The sequence below is a fragment of the Homo sapiens genome, chromosome 2, assembly GCF_000001405.40.
Source record: "Homo sapiens chromosome 2, GRCh38.p14 Primary Assembly".
Taxonomy (NCBI): domain Eukaryota; kingdom Metazoa; phylum Chordata; class Mammalia; order Primates; family Hominidae; genus Homo; species Homo sapiens.
This window is the reverse complement of record NC_000002.12, coordinates 170,461,319-170,478,604: the sequence shown is the minus strand read 5'-3', so window position 1 is coordinate 170,478,604 and position 17,286 is coordinate 170,461,319. Positions and strand designations below refer to the sequence as shown.

General features: G+C 43.5%; 1 protein-coding gene across 11 annotated transcripts in view; it reads right to left on the bottom strand.

Moving 5' to 3' along the window:
• MYO3B (myosin IIIB) overlaps positions 1-17,286 on the bottom strand; it is a 477,021-nt gene that overhangs the window by 176,563 nt on the left and 283,172 nt on the right. For all 11 annotated transcript variants that reach the window (NR_045682.2, NR_045683.2, NR_045684.2 and 8 more), the window contains 2 exons: positions 15,160-15,237; positions 11,894-12,099 (listed from right to left, as the gene is read on the bottom strand). Coding sequence is in view for 8 of the 11 variants with exons in the window: in NM_138995.5 (NP_620482.3) it covers positions 11,894-12,099; positions 15,160-15,237 (284 nt within the window). In the remaining 3 variants the exon portion in view is untranslated. The remainder of the gene's footprint in view (positions 1-11,893; positions 12,100-15,159; positions 15,238-17,286) is intronic.

Below are 17,286 nucleotides of genomic sequence, written 5' to 3'. Positions count from 1 at the left end.
AGAGTGAGACTCCATCTCAAAAAAAAAAAAACACAAAAAAACCTGTGTGTGTGTGTGTGTGTGTGTGTGTGTGTGTGTGTGTACAATAACACCCCACACACCTTCTCCATGGCCACGGAATTAGAAAATTCCCAGGATCTCACCTGCTTCTAGTCAGGCACGTCTGCACTTTCTGACTCTTAAATGAGGTAGCAAGGAGTAAGAAATGAATGGATTGTAAGGAACTCGAAATATTTACTTAATATTCATTCATCCCGTATTCTTTAAATCACTCCCGCATTCAATTAATAAATATTAGATTTCTTCTCTGAGAGAAACATGACTAACCGCCTCCCCCATTTCCACACTCACTTCTCCCTGGCTAAATGAACACCAGTTTTTTACTGGGTGACAATGTGCCCCAGTCCTGTTCTCCACTTTCTAAGCCTCTCCCTGAAGCTAGGAATGGTCACGGGACCCAGGTCAGGTCAATGAGGTATATGTAAAATGGCTTCTGAAAAAATTTTTTCTTTCCTGATAAAAAATAGTAGAGACGTGGCTGCCTTAGCCATTCATCCTGCTCCTTTTTTCCTGCCTTAAATGCAGACATGATAGTTGAAGGGGCAATAGCCATCTTGTGACTGTGACACTATAAGCCAACCCACACACTAAAGCCGGCCAAAAGGGATGAAAGAAGGTCAGAAGGTGTCCAGGTCTCTGATGACATCGCTGAACAGCTGAACTAATGCTAGAAACAGCTTACCTCTCAACTTCTTTTTTATGTGAGAAGAAATAAACAAACCTATTCACCAGTGGTTCTCATCTTGGGTAATTCCCCGCCTCCCCCTCAGGAGACATTTGACAACATCTAGAGATACTTTTGACTGTCACAACTGCTGAGGGTGGAGGTGTTGGAATCTAGTATGTAGAATCTAGAAAGAAGCTACTAAACATCTTATAAGGCACAGGACAGCTCGCAACAAAGAATTATCTGGTCCAAAATGTCAATAACACAGAGGTTGAGAAACTCTGGCTTAAGCCACTAAGAATGTTTATTTGCTATTCACAGTCAAATGTATTCCTGATTAATAGAGTCCTCCATTCAGGAAACACTGGACACACACCATGAGCCAGATACCATAACACGTGAAGTGCTAGGGATAAAAAAATGAGTAAAGTCCACTCCATCCCTGTAAAAGTTCACAGTCTTGTGGGGCAGACAGACATGTTAGGATAAAAATAAGACTATAGGTTCTAATACAGAGATATCAACATCCAGTTGTGGGAGCACAGAGGATGGAGCAACAACTAGTTTGGCAGAGTCCAGGCAGCCTTCATAGAGAAGGTGCCTGGACTGGGGATTGAAAGATGAAGAGAAAACCACCAGAGGAAGAGGCTTTCCATCAGTGAAGAGAATGCACAAAGGCTGACCATCACACATGGGGCTGGAGGGCCCAAGGTCAGGCTGACAGCAGTCTAGGCTATGTGAGGGAGAATGGTGGGGAAAAATGAGAATGGTCAGTTGAGACCAGTTATGGAAAGCTTTGTGTTCTGCAGTAGGCAGGCCTAGGCAAACCTACCCCCAAAAGTCTAAGGAAGCTGAGAGTCCAAAGAAAGAGGCTGACATATCCGGTTCCTTAGAAAGAAAGAAACATTTAATAGAGATTTATGAACAAAAGCCATGTCTGTGTCTAGGATGGCAGTGGGACAAGATGGAGGATCCCTGGGCCATTAACCCCCAACCCAGTGCTTATATACCATAGGAAAGTGATATGAACAGAAGACAGGGAAATACTCGGTAGAAGAGGATGGTTCCCCGGCAATGGTCCCACCCTCAAGTCTGAATACCCATGGCCCTAAATAAGGACAGGTATTCCTGTTTTTGCACCCAAAAAATTGCCTTTGGGCCCACCACATCCCCTATTTTGCACCCATACAAACCACGAACCCCAGGCTCCAGAGCAGATGAGAAGACAAGCAGAGCATGGCACAACAGCATGGCAGAGAAAGAGAATAGAAGGAGTATCTGAAGGCTGAGAGGAGTTCTGCTAGGGGCAGTTGGAGAGGAGTCTGGCCACTGGACAGCCAAACTCCAGAGGAAGATCATCTTCCCATTCCATCCCCATTCCAGCTCTCCATCCATCCCACTGAGAGCCACTTCCACCACTCAATAAAACCCCTGCATTCATCCTTCAAGCCCATGTATGACCTGATTCTTCTGGGGCGCAAGACAAGAGCTTGGGATACAGAAAGCTATCACACTGGCCCACTACCCTTGGGAAAAGGCAGAGGGTCCACTGAGCTGGTTTAACACTTAAGCCATCTGCGGACAGCAAAGCTGAAAGAGTGCACTGTAACATGCCCACTTGGGCTTTGGGAGTTGCAGACACCCCACTCCTAGACACTACTTGGAGAGTGGGGCTGGAACCCACAGCGCTTGTCCCAGCTCCTGCACGTGTCCATCCACGTGCTCCCCTTCCCGCAGGTGGTTTCAGCAGTGGTGGTGACCAAACAGACGAGCCACACCCTTGTCGCATGTCCTGTGGGGGGGGACAGGGAACACTCCCATTTCAAAAGGAAAGGAATGTGTAGGATAATCAAAGTTAACCTCCCAGGGAAAAGCAAGAATGCTGTGTAAATCTGCCTAAGGGCAGGATTTATGGTCAAGGTTGTTCTTACCTAAGGGCAGGATTTATGGTAAGTAGATGCTCTTGCAGAAGAAACAGTAAATAAAATAAAAATCTTAGAGGAATTGCTGGAACTGGGGTTAAGCAGAAGTTAACATGGCAAGTTAATGTCCAAGATGGAATTGCTTTGCCTCCTCACTTTGCTGAGCTAAAGGCTTTAGACCTCGTCCCATAGACAACGAAGAAGAGGCACAGAAGTTTATTCCTGAGAGTGACATGATCATCTTGATATTTTTATAAACGTAATTCTGGTGGCAGTATAAAGGATCATGTAAGGTAAACAGAGACTAGAGTTAGCAAGGCACAAAGTGTAAGCAAAAATTCAGCTGAAAGATTGATTAGTATTCTGAAAGTATGGCAGGAAATACTCAAAAGGAGAGAATAAGCTGGACGTGGTGGCTCACACCTGTAATCCCAGCACTTTGGGAGGCCAAGGTGGGAGGATAGATAGCTTGAGCCCAGGAGTCTGAGACCAGCTTAGGCAACATAATGAGATATTGTCCCTACAAAAAATTAAAAAATTAGCCAGGCATGGTGGTTTGCACATGTAGTCTTCGGTTGCTTGTAGGCTGAGGCAGGAGAATTGCTTGAGCTCAGGAGTTCAAAGCTGCAGTGAACCATGATCATGCCACTGCACTCCAGCCTAGGCAGCAGAGCAGGGCCCTATCTCAACAAACAAAACACAAATAGAGGCTAAGAGAAGAGACCCTGCGAAAGGGAAGTGACATAGTGACATGCAGCACTTCTATGCTGGGTCCTAGGTGGGACAAGAACATCATGGGTGAGAGAGTCAGAGAACTGTGTCAAATGCAAGAAGATAAATTCAAACTGGGCCAGAATAGACTGAGTTTTCTCTAATCCCTTAGTGAAGTGGAGCTGGAAACTATTTTCAATAACCCACTGTATGCTATGTGAAGTCGTGTTTAAACAAAACAAGATGACCATTCTTAAGTGAAAACGATAGTAACTATATATATTTAGTTCTTATTCCAAAGTTAACATTCAGTTATTGTCAGCAAAATTTTTGTTCCTACGAAATTCTAAATTAAAGGGCTCCTATAGGTAGATATCTGGGCTAAGGTGAACCTTTCTGAACTGTTGTCATTTATTCTAGGACACAGAATAGTCAAAACTAAGGGTAATGGATGCCTATCTTTTTTTTTTTTTTTTTTTTTTTTTTTTTTTTTTTTTTTTTGAGACGGAGTTTCACTCTTGTCACCCAGGCTGGAGTGCAATGGGGTGATCTCGGCTCACCGCAATCTCCACCTCCCAGGTTCAAGTGATTCTCCTGCCTCAACCTCCCAAGTAGCTGGGATTACAGGCATGCGCCACCACGCCTGGCTTATTATTATTTTTTTTTTTTAAGTAGAGACAGGGTTTCTCCATGTTGGTCAGGCTGGTCTTCAACTCCCGACCTCAGGTGATCCACCCACCTTGGCCTCCCAAAGTGCTGGGATTACAGGCGTCAGCCACCATGTCCAGCCATGGATGCCTATCGTTTTAGCCTATCCATCCCTATCCTTCCTTTAAAGAGTCCATTAGGCCATGGTTCAAGTGGGGTTGACTCCATCCCTGGCAGTTGACCCAAGACCCTGCCAATCATACCCCTGGGCACAGTAATTGGCTCAAGGGTGGGCATGTGATCCAGGCTCAGAGAGTCAGAGAGTTCCTTGCATAAGAACTCTCAGAAACTCTCTTGCTGCTAATGTTGCTAAGCCTATAGAATGCTTTCTATAGGAGCATCCAGGGACCATCTTTGCCAACATGTAAGGAGAGCTAACCTGGCTCCTTATCAGAAACTCAAAAAAGGGAAAAAGAAACCTGATACAAGGAAAAAGACACTGGCTTGGTAAAACTGTTTGATTGCCTGGATCCAGACATGTCTTTGGATTTCCTAATTTCCTAAGCCAATATGTCATCCCCTTTTAATTGTTGCTTCAACTAGTTTGAGTTTCAGTTACTTGTTATTGAGAGGTTCCTAACTAACATACCAAGTAAGCAGCCTGCTTTCACAGAATGGTGCTTTCATAAAATGTACGTAGGCTGTGTTAGGAAGCTCCAAGTGGTTTCTTTTTTTCTGGAGTACGAGCTGAGAGATGGGGAGATGAGAGAGAAGAAGCTGGAAAACGAGAGAGTCTTCCTTGTCCTATTAAGCTTATCTCTTTGGATTTCGAAAAAAAATCATTTTTGTTATAGAGAAGGGAGGCAAATTTGTTTAAAGTTAGCCTTTCAATGTATTAACTTCTAATAATAGCATTGTCAAACTGGGTTACAGCCTTATTTTAAATCAACTTATTTAGGTTTCTTACCTTTTATTGATAAAGAGCTACTATGACTTACCTGAAATCTTACATTCTATCAATCTAGGTTGTACACTACAGTACAAGGAAAACTTAACCTCAACAAAGCCAGTTCTAGGTATCTGTCATATATTTCAAAGAGCAAGGATCGAAGTGTGAGTCAAGGGATGATAAAAGAAAATAGTGATAAAACGGCTGGGCGCAGTGGCTCACGCCTGTAATCCCAGTACTTTGGGAGGCCGAGGCAGGCGGATCACAAGGTCAGGAGATCGAGACCATCCTGGCTAACATGGTGAAACCCCGTCTCTACTAAAAAAAATACAAAAAAATTAGCTGGGCATGGTGGTAGGTGCCTGTAGTCCCAGCTACTCGGGAGGCTGAGATAGGAGAATGGCATGAATCCAGGAGGCGAAGCTTGCAGTAAGCCGAGATCACCCCACTACACTCCAGCCTAGGTGACAGAGTGAGACTCCATCTCAAAAAAAAAAAAAAAAAAAAAGAAAAGAAAAAGAAAAAGAAAAAGAAAATAGTGATGAAAAAGAAGAGGTAAGAGTTTGATTCAACTCAACAAATATTAATTAAACACTGAATTCGTGCCAGGCACTGCATCGGACAATACAGACATAAAGTGAGCTGAAGTTCAGGCATGGTGGCTCACACCTATAATCCCACCAGTTTGCGAGGCTGAGGCAGACAGATTGCTCGAGCTCAGGAGTTCAAAACCAGCCTGGGCAACATGGTGAGACCTCATCGCTACTAAAAATACAAAAATAAGCCAGGCATGGTGGTGCACGCCTGTGGCCCAGCTACTTGGGAGGCTAAGGTGGGAGGGTCGCTTGAACCCAGCGGGTAGAGGTTGCAGTGAGCCAACATTGTGCCACTGCATTCCAGCCTGGGTGACAGAGTGAGACCCTGTCTCAAAATAAATAAATAAATAAATAAATAAATAAATAAATAAATAAATAGATAAAAAGTGAGCTGAAAAATATCCCTGCCTTCCAGGCAGTTAAGGTTCAGATAAGAGGTAGATAATTGCTCTACAATGTAGTAAGTGCTACCAAAGAAGCTCATCAAAAGAGATCCTAACTCAGCCTGGGAAAGTCAAGGAGGGTATCACAGAAAAGTTAATGCCTGGTCAAAGACCTAAGGAATGAGTAGGATTTAGCTTGGCTAAGACAGCAGACTGAGGGCTTGGAGAAGGCAGATTTAGTCGACATAGCCTGAGCAAAGCACAAAAGACTAGAACAGCCTGGGATGGTTAGGGAACACCAAGTAATTCAATTTTGGCTGGAGTGTGATCTGAGATGTGGAAAATGAGAGAAGAGACTAGGAAAGTAAGCAGGGGCCAAATCAGGTGGACTCCCTTACACCAGGCCAGAGCACTGCAGCTCACCCCATGGGGGCCTGGATGGTCATTTTAATCAAGGAAACAATATGCTCAGATAGGAATTTTAACAAATTCTATTCTGCTGTCTCTTTGGAGAATGAAATAGGCAGGAAGTCCACTTAGAAAACTGGCAAGAGGGTGAGCAAAAAAAACGTTTTAAAAGGCCCAGAAAAGATATAGAGAAAAGAATAGAAGAGAGTCCAGAAATAAACCCTTAAATTTATGGTCAAGTTGGTCAAGTGAGTTTTTTTTTTTTTTTTTAGACAGAGTTTCACTCTTGTTGCCCAGGCTGGAGTGCAATGGCGCGATCTCGGCTCACCACAACCTCTGCCTTCCGGGTTCAAGCAATTCTCCTGCCTCCGCCTCCCAAGTAGTTGGGATTACAGGCATGTGCCACCATGCCCAGCTAATTTTGTATTTTTAGTAGAGACGGGGTTTCTCCACGTTAATCAGGCTGGTCTCGAACTCCTAACCTCAGGTGATCCACCCGCCTCAGCCTCCCAAAGTGCTGGGATTACAGGTGTGAGCCACTGCGCCCCGGCCTGGTCAAGTGATTTTCAACAAGAATCCAAGGACAATTCAATGGGAGGAAATAACAGTATTTTCAACAAAATGGTGTTGAAACTGCTGGATATCCGCATACAAAAGAATGATGTTAGACTTCTACCTTACACCATACAAAAAATTAAATCCAAATGGACCATAGATCTAAAATATAAGAGGTAAAACTACAAAACTCCCAGAATAATGATAGGAGTAAATCTTTGTCACATTGGATTAGATGATAGCTTCTTAGGTAGAATACCAAAAGTACGAGCAACAAAAGAAAACATACATAAATTGAACTTCATCAAAATTAAAAAATTTTGTGCTTCAAAGGACACCATCAAGAAGACAACCCAGGCCAGGCACAGTGGGTCACTCCTGTAATCCTAGCACTTTGGGAGGCTGAGGTGGGTGGATGACATGAGGTCAGGAGTTCGAGACCACCCTGACCAACATGGTGAAACCCCATCTCTATTAAAAATACAAAAATTAGCAGGGCATGGTGGCAGATGCCTGTAATCCCAGCTACTCCGGAGGCTGAGGCATGAGATTGCTTGAACCCGGGAGGCGGAGTTTGCAGTGAGCCAAGACTGTGCCAGGGCACTCCAGCCTGGGTGACAGAATGAGACTCCATCTCAAAGAAGAAAAAAAAAAGAGAAAACAACCCATAGAGTGAGAAAATATCAAAGTGACCAGTAGCTCATTAAAAAAAAAAGAGAGAGAGAGAGAGAAAATATTTGCAAATTATCTATGTGATAAGGGACTAATATTTGGAATACATAAACATCAACAATATAAAGTGGGCAAAGGATTTGAATAAACATTTCTCCAAAGAAGGTATACACATAACCAAGAAACACAGAAAAGCTGCTCAACATCATTAGTCATTAGAGAAATGCAAATCAAAACTACAATGAGATGCCACTTCACATCAACTAGAATGACTAAAATAAAAAAGACAAACAATAATAAATGTTGGAGACGATGTGGAAAAATTGGGACTCTCATAACACTGGTGATGGTAATTTAAATTGTTCAGCCACTTGGAACAGAGGGTTACCATATGACCAAGAAATTCTACTCGTAGGTATATACCCAAAAGAAGTGAAAACATATGTCCACATTAAAAGTTGTACATGAATATTCATAGCAGCATTATTCATAACAGCCAAAAAGTGGAAACAATGCAAAAGTTCATCCCCTGATAAATGAGCAAGCAAAACATGATATATTCATGCAATGGGATATTATTCATCTACAAAAAAATAACATACTGGTACATAGTACCAGTATTCATTTCATCCAACACTGAAAACATGCTAAGTAAAAGAAGCCAGACACAAAAGGCCACGTTGTATGATTCCATTTACACGAAATGTCAAAAATAGGCAAATCCATACAGATGGAAGTTAGATTATTGGTTGCCTAAGTTTGGTGGGATTGAGGAGAAAAGGGAGAATGGCTAATGAGTTTGGAGTTTCCTTTTAGGTAATGAAATGTTCTATGATTAGATGGTAGTCATGTTTATACAACTCTGTGACTAATTAAAAACCTTTGAACTGTATACTTTCCTTCTTTTTTTTTTTTTTTTTTTTTTTTTTTTGAGACGGAGTTTCGCTCTTGTTGCCCAGGCTGGAGGGCAATGGCACGATCTCGGCTCACTACAACCTTCACCTCCCAGTTTCAAGTGATTCTCCTGCCTCAGCCTGCTCAGTAGCTGGGATTACAGGCATGCACCAACACACCCAGCTAATTTTGTATTTTTAGTAGAGACGAGGTTTCTCCATGTTGGTCAGGCTGGTCTCGAACTCCCGACCTCAGGTGATCCACCCTCCTCAGCCTCCCAAAGTGCTGGGATTACAGGTGTGAGCCACCGTGCCCGGCTGAATTGTATACTTTCAAAAGATGACTTTTATCATACGTGAATTATATCTAAATTGAGCTGTTAATAATAACAAAAGGGCTGGACTAAAGCTATGGGAGAAGGGATGAGAGATTCCCAAGGGAACATTTTTTAGAAACTTTAGCAGGTAGTGAGCTGGACCTGGTGATGGATTATTTAAAGGAAGTGAGGAGAAGTCAAAGGTGACTCCTAGTTTCTGGAAGAGAGAGAGTGAAGGAACAGAAAGGAGAATGAGATGAAAGAGATACCAAGACACCATGGTTCTCCACGCCATCATGAGAAGAAATGGAAGATGCCAATGAAAGAGAAGAGGGAAGAGTTTCATTTTGTTCAATGGTTAACAACTGTTACGCATCACAGCCTGGTAGATGCAGGTCTCTCATCCAGCGAGCTCGACTGGGAAGGCAAAAATCCCTAGAAGACTTAGAAACTAAGTAAGCCCCAGGCATCTGCAAGTAATCCTTGAAAATCTTTAGAATGTGGGCTTTGTATATTCCTGCCTTCTTGTCATGCAGGTGAGGAAACATCTTTTACAGAATATTGGGTTACTTTCCAGATGTTATATACTGAAGGAGACTAGAATTCAGGTCTCCTTACTAAACTGCATTATTTACTACAATAGCTTCATAAACAAACAATTAGACTCAGCCCTATTCTTTATCTTTTTGAGAGGAAGTCTCACTCCGTCGCCCTGGCTGGAGCGCAGTGGCACGATCTTGGCTCACTGCAACCTCCGCCTCCTGGGTTCAAGCGATTCTCCTGGCTCAGCCTCCCAAGTAGCCACCACACCCAGCTAATTTTTGTATTTTTAGTAAAGACAGGATTTCACCATGTTGGCCAGGCTGGTCTCGAACTCCTAACCTCAGGTGATGTGCCTGCCTCCCAAAGTGCTAGGATTACAGGTGTGAGCCATCACGCCCAGCCTGACTCAGCCCTATGTTTTAGACATTTGCCAGAACACATCCCAATACATGCAGTTATGTGTTTGCCCTCTGTAGACATTCTGAGAGACTATGCATCAGAATCCACTGACCATAAAAACAATAAATGCTTAGATTGCTTTTCTATGACGTCCCTCAACAGTGTGGCTCCAGCATTTCCAGGTGGCCTCTTTCATGCCTAGTCGAGAACATAAAGACTTCCAATTCACCTGGCCCTATTGATGAGAGGATGTTGGGGACACCCTCTTCCTCAAAGGCTCCATGAGTAGAGGATAAGGAAGGGCACTTCCAAGTCATTTTGCCAGAAAGCTCAAAGATAATAGGGGCAAGAAAGTATTTTAGGCTTGGCCAAGCCTGCAGACTTGGGTAATTTGGGAACTGGGGAAGTCTTTCCCCTTTCTGGAACCCAACAACATGATCCCAAGAACACCACCAGGTGTATACTCAGGGTTTCAGTCCTGAATGCCAGAAAATACAAAAATGTAGAGTCACATTAAATGAGTTTTTATCTTTTATTTACCTCCATTTAATAAACCTTGAATGGCTCTGTTTCCTGTCTTTGATTGTCCTGTCTGCATATTTCCTGCTAAGAGTTTACAAAACAGCACTCTTGAACAGGAAGATAAGAAGTGTACCTATTTGTTGAATAACATCAAGGGAGAAAACTGCTAACTCATCCATTTTGTTAAGTGGTTCAAAAGGATCAAAATACCAATTAACTTGCTGGCTCAGAAATCTTTGATATCCTCAGATTTACTGGCATTTTGAAACTCCTGTTCATACTTGCCTAATGGCTTTCTGATTATGAACAAAGAAGTGCCAATCTGTTCAGCATTTGACCTGTTTTCTTAAATATTTTTATGTATTCAAACATTGTTACAAAAAATACTTGACTAGTCAAATTCATGTGCTAAATTTTTTTTCTTGTTCCACTTCCAAATTTAAGAGGAAAAAAGGAGCTCAAAGACACTTAAAAAAAAAAAGCCATTTCCTTCTTATTTTTAATTTAAAAGCTCTCATTGCAAGGAACTTTTTTTTTTTTTTTTGCCTTATCTTTTCCATGGAATTTAGCAGAGTTTGGGAGACGTGACAAAGCAAGCTACCATATTTATGACTCATCCTCTCCTGAGAAAATTTTGGAAAAAATGACTTTGGGCACATGTTTCAGAGTGGAAGTAAAAAGACACTAAGGATGGCTTAAGGAGTGAGGCAGATTCTACAATGTATTTTTTTTTTCTTGATTGCCTTGTCTTTGTCAGGCATACAATGGATTTCAATATTCCTCTCCAGGCATCCTCAGACAGCAGTGCTTCTCAGGGGTGTTTTTTTTTTGTTACTGTTTTCCTTATTTCTTCACAGAAAATTCTACTTGTAATCACATTCATACATAATCTCTATGGCAGTCGTTCAGAAAAGAGCAGCATTTCATTCTTAGGCAAAGGCACTTTCTGGGTTAAGAAAGTGCCATGCAATTTATTTCAATAAATATTGATTGAATGCACTGAACTGAAGAGATTAAAAGCATGCATGCTGAAACCAGACTGCCTGGGTTCAAATCCTGGTTCTACATTGACCAGCATGAGACCATGGGAAAATCACTTACTTTCTTTTCATACCCAAGTTTTCTCACCTTTACGTTTTGTAAAATGGGGATGATAATAGAGTCTAGCTTATAGGGTTGTTCTATGGATCAAATGAGATAATACATTTTAGAATAGTGCCCTAAAATGTCCTGTACTCTTATGATACTTCAGGTGTTATGTAAGTGTTAATTATCGTATTATATCATGCCAGAACCTGGAAGAAGAACTGGTGCTTGGGTGCATTCAAATCCGGCCCACTTATGGAGGGATACTTTCATCATAACAACAAAATACCTGGAGAACTTGAGACCTAAGGATTTATAACATATAAACGTATATGGAAATTTAAAATAATGTGATCAGAAGGAAGCTTAATCTGGCTGCTGGATCACTGCAGTTTAGTTGAAGCACAATAAAAATGCAACATTCAAGCAAGTAAATGGTAGCTGGCAACTAGCCAATTACATGTTTGGAGGAGAGCACGCAGGAGGAACAATCTTAGGACACAGGGATGGCCAGAGTAGAGCTACATTTATAAGAATGCATTCCCGTAGATGACGGTCTGACCTTTTCACAAATTCTTCAAAAAGGATGCGGTGGGAATAGCCCTGGCGGCGGATGCTGACTGTCTCCAGAATCCCTGTGGAGCGGAGCTGGGCCAGCACCCTCTCTCGAGAGAACTGCAGGGCCTCTCGGTCATCATTGGGTTTAATGCAGCGCACAAAGTGGGGCTGTCCAACCACCATTTTGGAGAGCAGGTCCATCAGAGAATACTACCAGGGAGAAAAATGCACAAGGAACAAGGTTACCACCAACACAATGGATAGTTACAACACAGGCCCGCAGAAGCCTCTGGAGCAGTTCGAGGCTCACAGACCTTCTTGAGGAAGAACATGAAATCAGCAATAGGAGATAATAATGTAAGTTGCACTTATAGCCATCTGCAGATTCAAAACCATTCTTTAAACATCACCTAGTGCCAAGCAATATCCCATATGGCAGAAACTTAGCTAAGAACATGCTCTATCTAGGTTATCCTGTAATTCCACCGCCAGAACTAGAATGCTTGTCGCTGGTATTCCAAGGTGATGTTCCACAATCTGTATCTGTAATTTAAAATGTCCAGCTTTTGAGGAAGGGGCTATTTGCTTCTTCAGCCTAAGAACCACCAGATAGTCTAAGCAAATCCTACAGATACGATTGGTAATAAGGTAGTGGGACAGAAAAGAAAAATACAAAAACAAGGCAAAGAAAATGAGAGAAGTACCAAAAAGAAGACTGTGGTGACTATCAACTAACATACACCAAGCAGCTGGTACAGGGCTCTCACAGCAAGAGGGGAGCAAGGACACGGAAAATCAGGGGGGTGCTTGTGAGGGAGGGCCTCAGTTGTTCCTCAGGGGCATCCACTGCTGGAGCTCTTCTGGGCTCACCTTCAGGAGCTATTATAAGCCAAAGGAACTCAGTTCCATTATTTCATAGTCACTGCTCCTACAGATCAAAATTGGTGTTACCTAGTTTCCAAGGTAACTTATTTTTCAGGTTTAGCACTCGTGAACGGGTATTTTGAGAACACCAAACTGGTTGTATGGGTATATTTCTGAAAAACCGTAGCCAGAGGCTTTTCTGCTGATAGGGGGGCCCTAAGATCTTGAGGATCACTTCACAGAGTAAATAGAGCTACTAAATCCAGTGGGAAACACATACAGACACCAAGGGTTACCAGGAGGATGATATGGTTTGGATGTGTGTTTCCTCCAAATCTCATGTTGAAATGTGACCTCTAATGTTGGAAATGGGCCCAGTGGGAGGTGTTTGGGTCATGGGGCAAATTCCTCATGAATGGCTTGGTGCTGTCCTCACGGCAATGAGTGAATTCTTACTCTATTAGTTCATGCAAAATCGGGTTGTTTAAAAGAGTCTGGGATCTCCCCTCTATCTTGTTCTCTCTCCATTCCTCCCTCTCTTGCCATGTAACACGCCTGCTCTATGAGTAAAAGCTCCCCGAGGCCTCACCAGAAGCCAAGTAGATGCTGGTGCCAGGCTTGTGGAGCCTGCAGAACCGTGAGCCAATAAACCTCTTTTCTTTATAAATTATCCAGTCTTGGCTGGGCACAGTGGCTCATGCCTGTAACCCTAGCACTTTGGGAGGCCGAGGTGGGTGGATTACCTAAGGTCAGGAGTTCGAGACCGGACTGGCCAACATGGTGAAGCCTCATCTCTAGTGAAAATACAAAAAAAAAAAATTGCCAGGCATGGTGGCACGTACCTGTAGTCCCAGCTACGTGGGAGGCTGACGCAGGAGAATCGCTTGAACCCAGGAGGCGGAGGTTGCAGTGAACCTAGATGGCACCACTGAACTCCAGCCTGGGTGACAGAGCCAGACTCTGTCTTAAAAGAAAAAAAAAAATTATCCAGTCTCAAGTATTCCTTCATAGCAACATAAAATGGACTAACAGACTAACAGATGAGGATAGAGCCACTCAAGGGGATAGGACCAGGTGTGTCTCAATATAAGAAATAAGTAGCAATTATAAATAACCAAACATCAGAATGATGAGGCAGGGGCCCACCTTCCACAGATGCTATAGCACGACTCAATGCATGGATGGAATACTGGATTCGAAGGTCTGGGGCCCCTGCAATTCATACCGAGCCCAATTCTAGCCTGCCTCTGAAGCACAATTGGCTAGGCTGGACTTCCGCGTTTTAGATCCCTGCACCTGCTAGCTTTCCATGGAGCCTTCTATCCAGAGTGCTGGCTCCCAAGTCCTGCCCTTCAGCCTTCCTGGCTCTTCCAGCTTCCCATCCACCTGACCTCTCATCCCTGCCAAGCCCTTTCTTGTGCCAACCCTATCTTACTACCTCATTCTGCTATCCCTGAGATCAGTTCTAAATTTGATCTAACAGCATTTTTTTTTTTTTTTTTTTTTTGAGAGGGAGTCTCACTTTGTCACCCAGGCCTGCAATGGCGCAATCTCAGCTCACTGCAACCTCCACCTCCCAGGTTCAGGTGATTCTCCTGCCTCAGCCTCCCAAGTAGCTGGGATTACAGGCACCTGCCACCACACCTAATTTTTGCATTTTTACTAGAGAAGGGGTTTCACCATGTTGGCCAGGCTGGTCTCTTAACTCTTGACCTCAGGTGATGCGCCTGCCTCAGCCTCCCAAAATGCTGGGACTATAGGTGTGAGCCAATGTGCTCGGCCTAACAGTATTTCTATTGTGAAACTATCTGGACCTTAGCTCCCAGTCTCTAAGGGCCTTCCAACTCTAACGCTTTATAATTTGAAGACAAACAAATCTGTGCAAGAGTGTATATGTCTTATCTTTGCTATATAATGTGCATTTAACAGAGCCCTTCTAGAGACCATGTTTTTACCCAAAGGAGGCATTTAACTAGATGAAGTATCAGAAATAGGGATGGCAGAAATGGGAAATAATAGGGCTCAGACAAGTGGGTTTTACAAGGGGTCAATTCAATCTAGGAAAATAAAGTCAATGCTAAGACAGATTCTCTCAGTATCTGAACTTATAAGCCACCTTCTGGAACTTTATTAACTACTTTACTATTCAGTATGCTAGAAAAGTGGCTGCCTCTAGTAGCTTTAAGACCAAGAAGCAGCTCATATGCTAACAGAATCAGTCACTTAATGGGCAGGGTTTTGTGCCCAATGTTCTCTTCCTTCCTTGCTTCCACCACTTCCCCAACCCAATCTTTCTTGACTCTGTGCTTTGCCCTTGTTTCACTGACTCCATCTGGGCATCTCATAAGAAGGCTTAGACAGTCCTTTTTGGAAGCAGGCAGAATAGAGATCAAGAAGACTCCATACCCGGAAGTAAGAAGCCACAGTTTGCCTCTTCATGTTGGTGGTTTCTTCCGGATGCCGTATCACCTCCAGAGTGTCCACCTGGAAGCATAGGTGGAGGCAAGTGGTTTGAGGATCTAGGCACTTACCTCATGCTCCATGTCTTCCAAAATCCGAAAGCCTGTTTGGCCAAATACCTGAGGGGCCATGGTATTTAGGACACAATAGTGTATACTGTGGGGAGAATTTTTCAAAACATAGAAACGAAAGAATATGCATTGTTCTACTCATTTGACAATACCTCACTCTATAAAATACCATGTGGTTTCAGTGTAAACCCCTCTTATTTCTATACTTCTACATCTTCTAATGAACCCCTGTTAAATTCTCCAGTAAGGTCATATGAGACCAAACTATTGCTTAAAAGGAAACTTGGCAAAGGGCCATGAGGCGAAATGATTATAAAGACGTGATGGCCCCAAAGCCCAGGTTGTACCACAGGGAATTAGGCCAGCACCAGTTGCCTTCCACGTCGTCAGACTCTGATGCTGCAACCATCAGACTCCTCCTACCACCCACAGTTCCCATGTGCTCATTGCAGATAGGAGCTCAGGCACCAAATCACTCGGAAACCCAATGGAATGCACCTGTTCTCAATATCTATCCCAACTACCTGGGCTGACTGAAAGGAACTGATTGATGAAAACAATTGTAGGGGCTGACTGCAAGCAGCCTGTGTTCCATTATTATAATGCAACAACAAAAACCCTGCTTTGGTTTGCAGAGTGCATGAGTGGCATTTAGCACTGGCCTTGCCGTGGCAGCTTCCCATCTGCTCTGAACAGGTGGCAAGGGTATAAAGCAGAAATGTTTGAGATGGAAGACACTGCTGTCAGCATGTGGGTTAGGCTGGGTGGACTGCCGTCCAGGCAGCCACCTTCCCATGGGGTGAGGATGTCTGCAGCCTTGTTCAATGAAAGTGAAAAACTGGTGCTAAAAGGGGTGAGAGTTAGGAGGGGTGAATAAAGAGGCTTGCCTAAAGGAGTATGTGGGAGACTGTATGCAAAATGGAAGGAAATGCTTCATCTGGGATGGGTAAAGAAAACAGGTTCATTTAAGAAGGGGAGAAAACATGGAGCTAAGTTTTCAAAACCTAGAAAAACAACCTATCAGTGAGCAGCTCTATGACCCAAGTGAAGACATCAGAGACAGTGCAGCTTTATTTTAATGAGCTGCACGGCCGATGCCATCAGTCCATTCACATGCAGCTGAAACAATGATATAACTGCCTGTAGGTTTGACATTTTGATGTTTTCTAATGGGAAAGGAGGAAAGGAAAGATCCTGGGTTTAGAAAGAAGAGGGAACAAAGAGAAAACACAACACACCAGCACCACCTGCAGAGCGTGTTATACTCTCTCCGCTGTCACCAGATGGGTCCACTCTGGAGGTTTCTTTCCCTTTCTCACCCCCATTTGAGTACAGAACTCAGAGCTGGTGAGGTTTGGGGCAAATTAATCAGGTCTGAAGAAAAGGTCTTGGCTAGGGCCAGCCTTTGGCTAAATTGTAAATTCTGGATTTTCTTCAACTTTTTTCTCCTTATTTTCTTCTTCTACCCCGGCCCCGCCGACCTCCATACATATACATACACACAACTTTGGGAATTTCTCCACCACTTCTTTTTTTTTTTTTTTTAAACGGAGTTTCACTCTTGTTGCCCAGGCTGGAGTGCAATGGCGCGATCTCAGCTCACTACAACCACCATCTGCCAGATTCAAGCAATTCTCCTGCCTCGGCCTCCCGAGTAGCTGGGATTACAGGCGCCTGCCACCACACCCAGCTAATTTTTGTATTTTTGGTAGAGATGAGGTTTTACCATGTTGGCCAGGCTGGTCTCGAATTCCTGACCTCAAGTGATCTGCCTGCCTCGGCCTCCCAAAGTGCTAGGATTACAGACTTGAGCCACCGTGCTCGGCCCAGCCCTTTTTTTTTTTTTTTTTTTTTGAGACTGAGTTTTGCTCCCAGGCTGGAGTGCAATGGTGCGATCTCAGCTCACTGCAACCTCCACCTCTGGGGTTGAAGTGTTTTCCTGCCTCAGCCTGCTGAGTAGCTGGGATTACAGGTGCCCGCCACCACGCCCAGCTAATTTTGT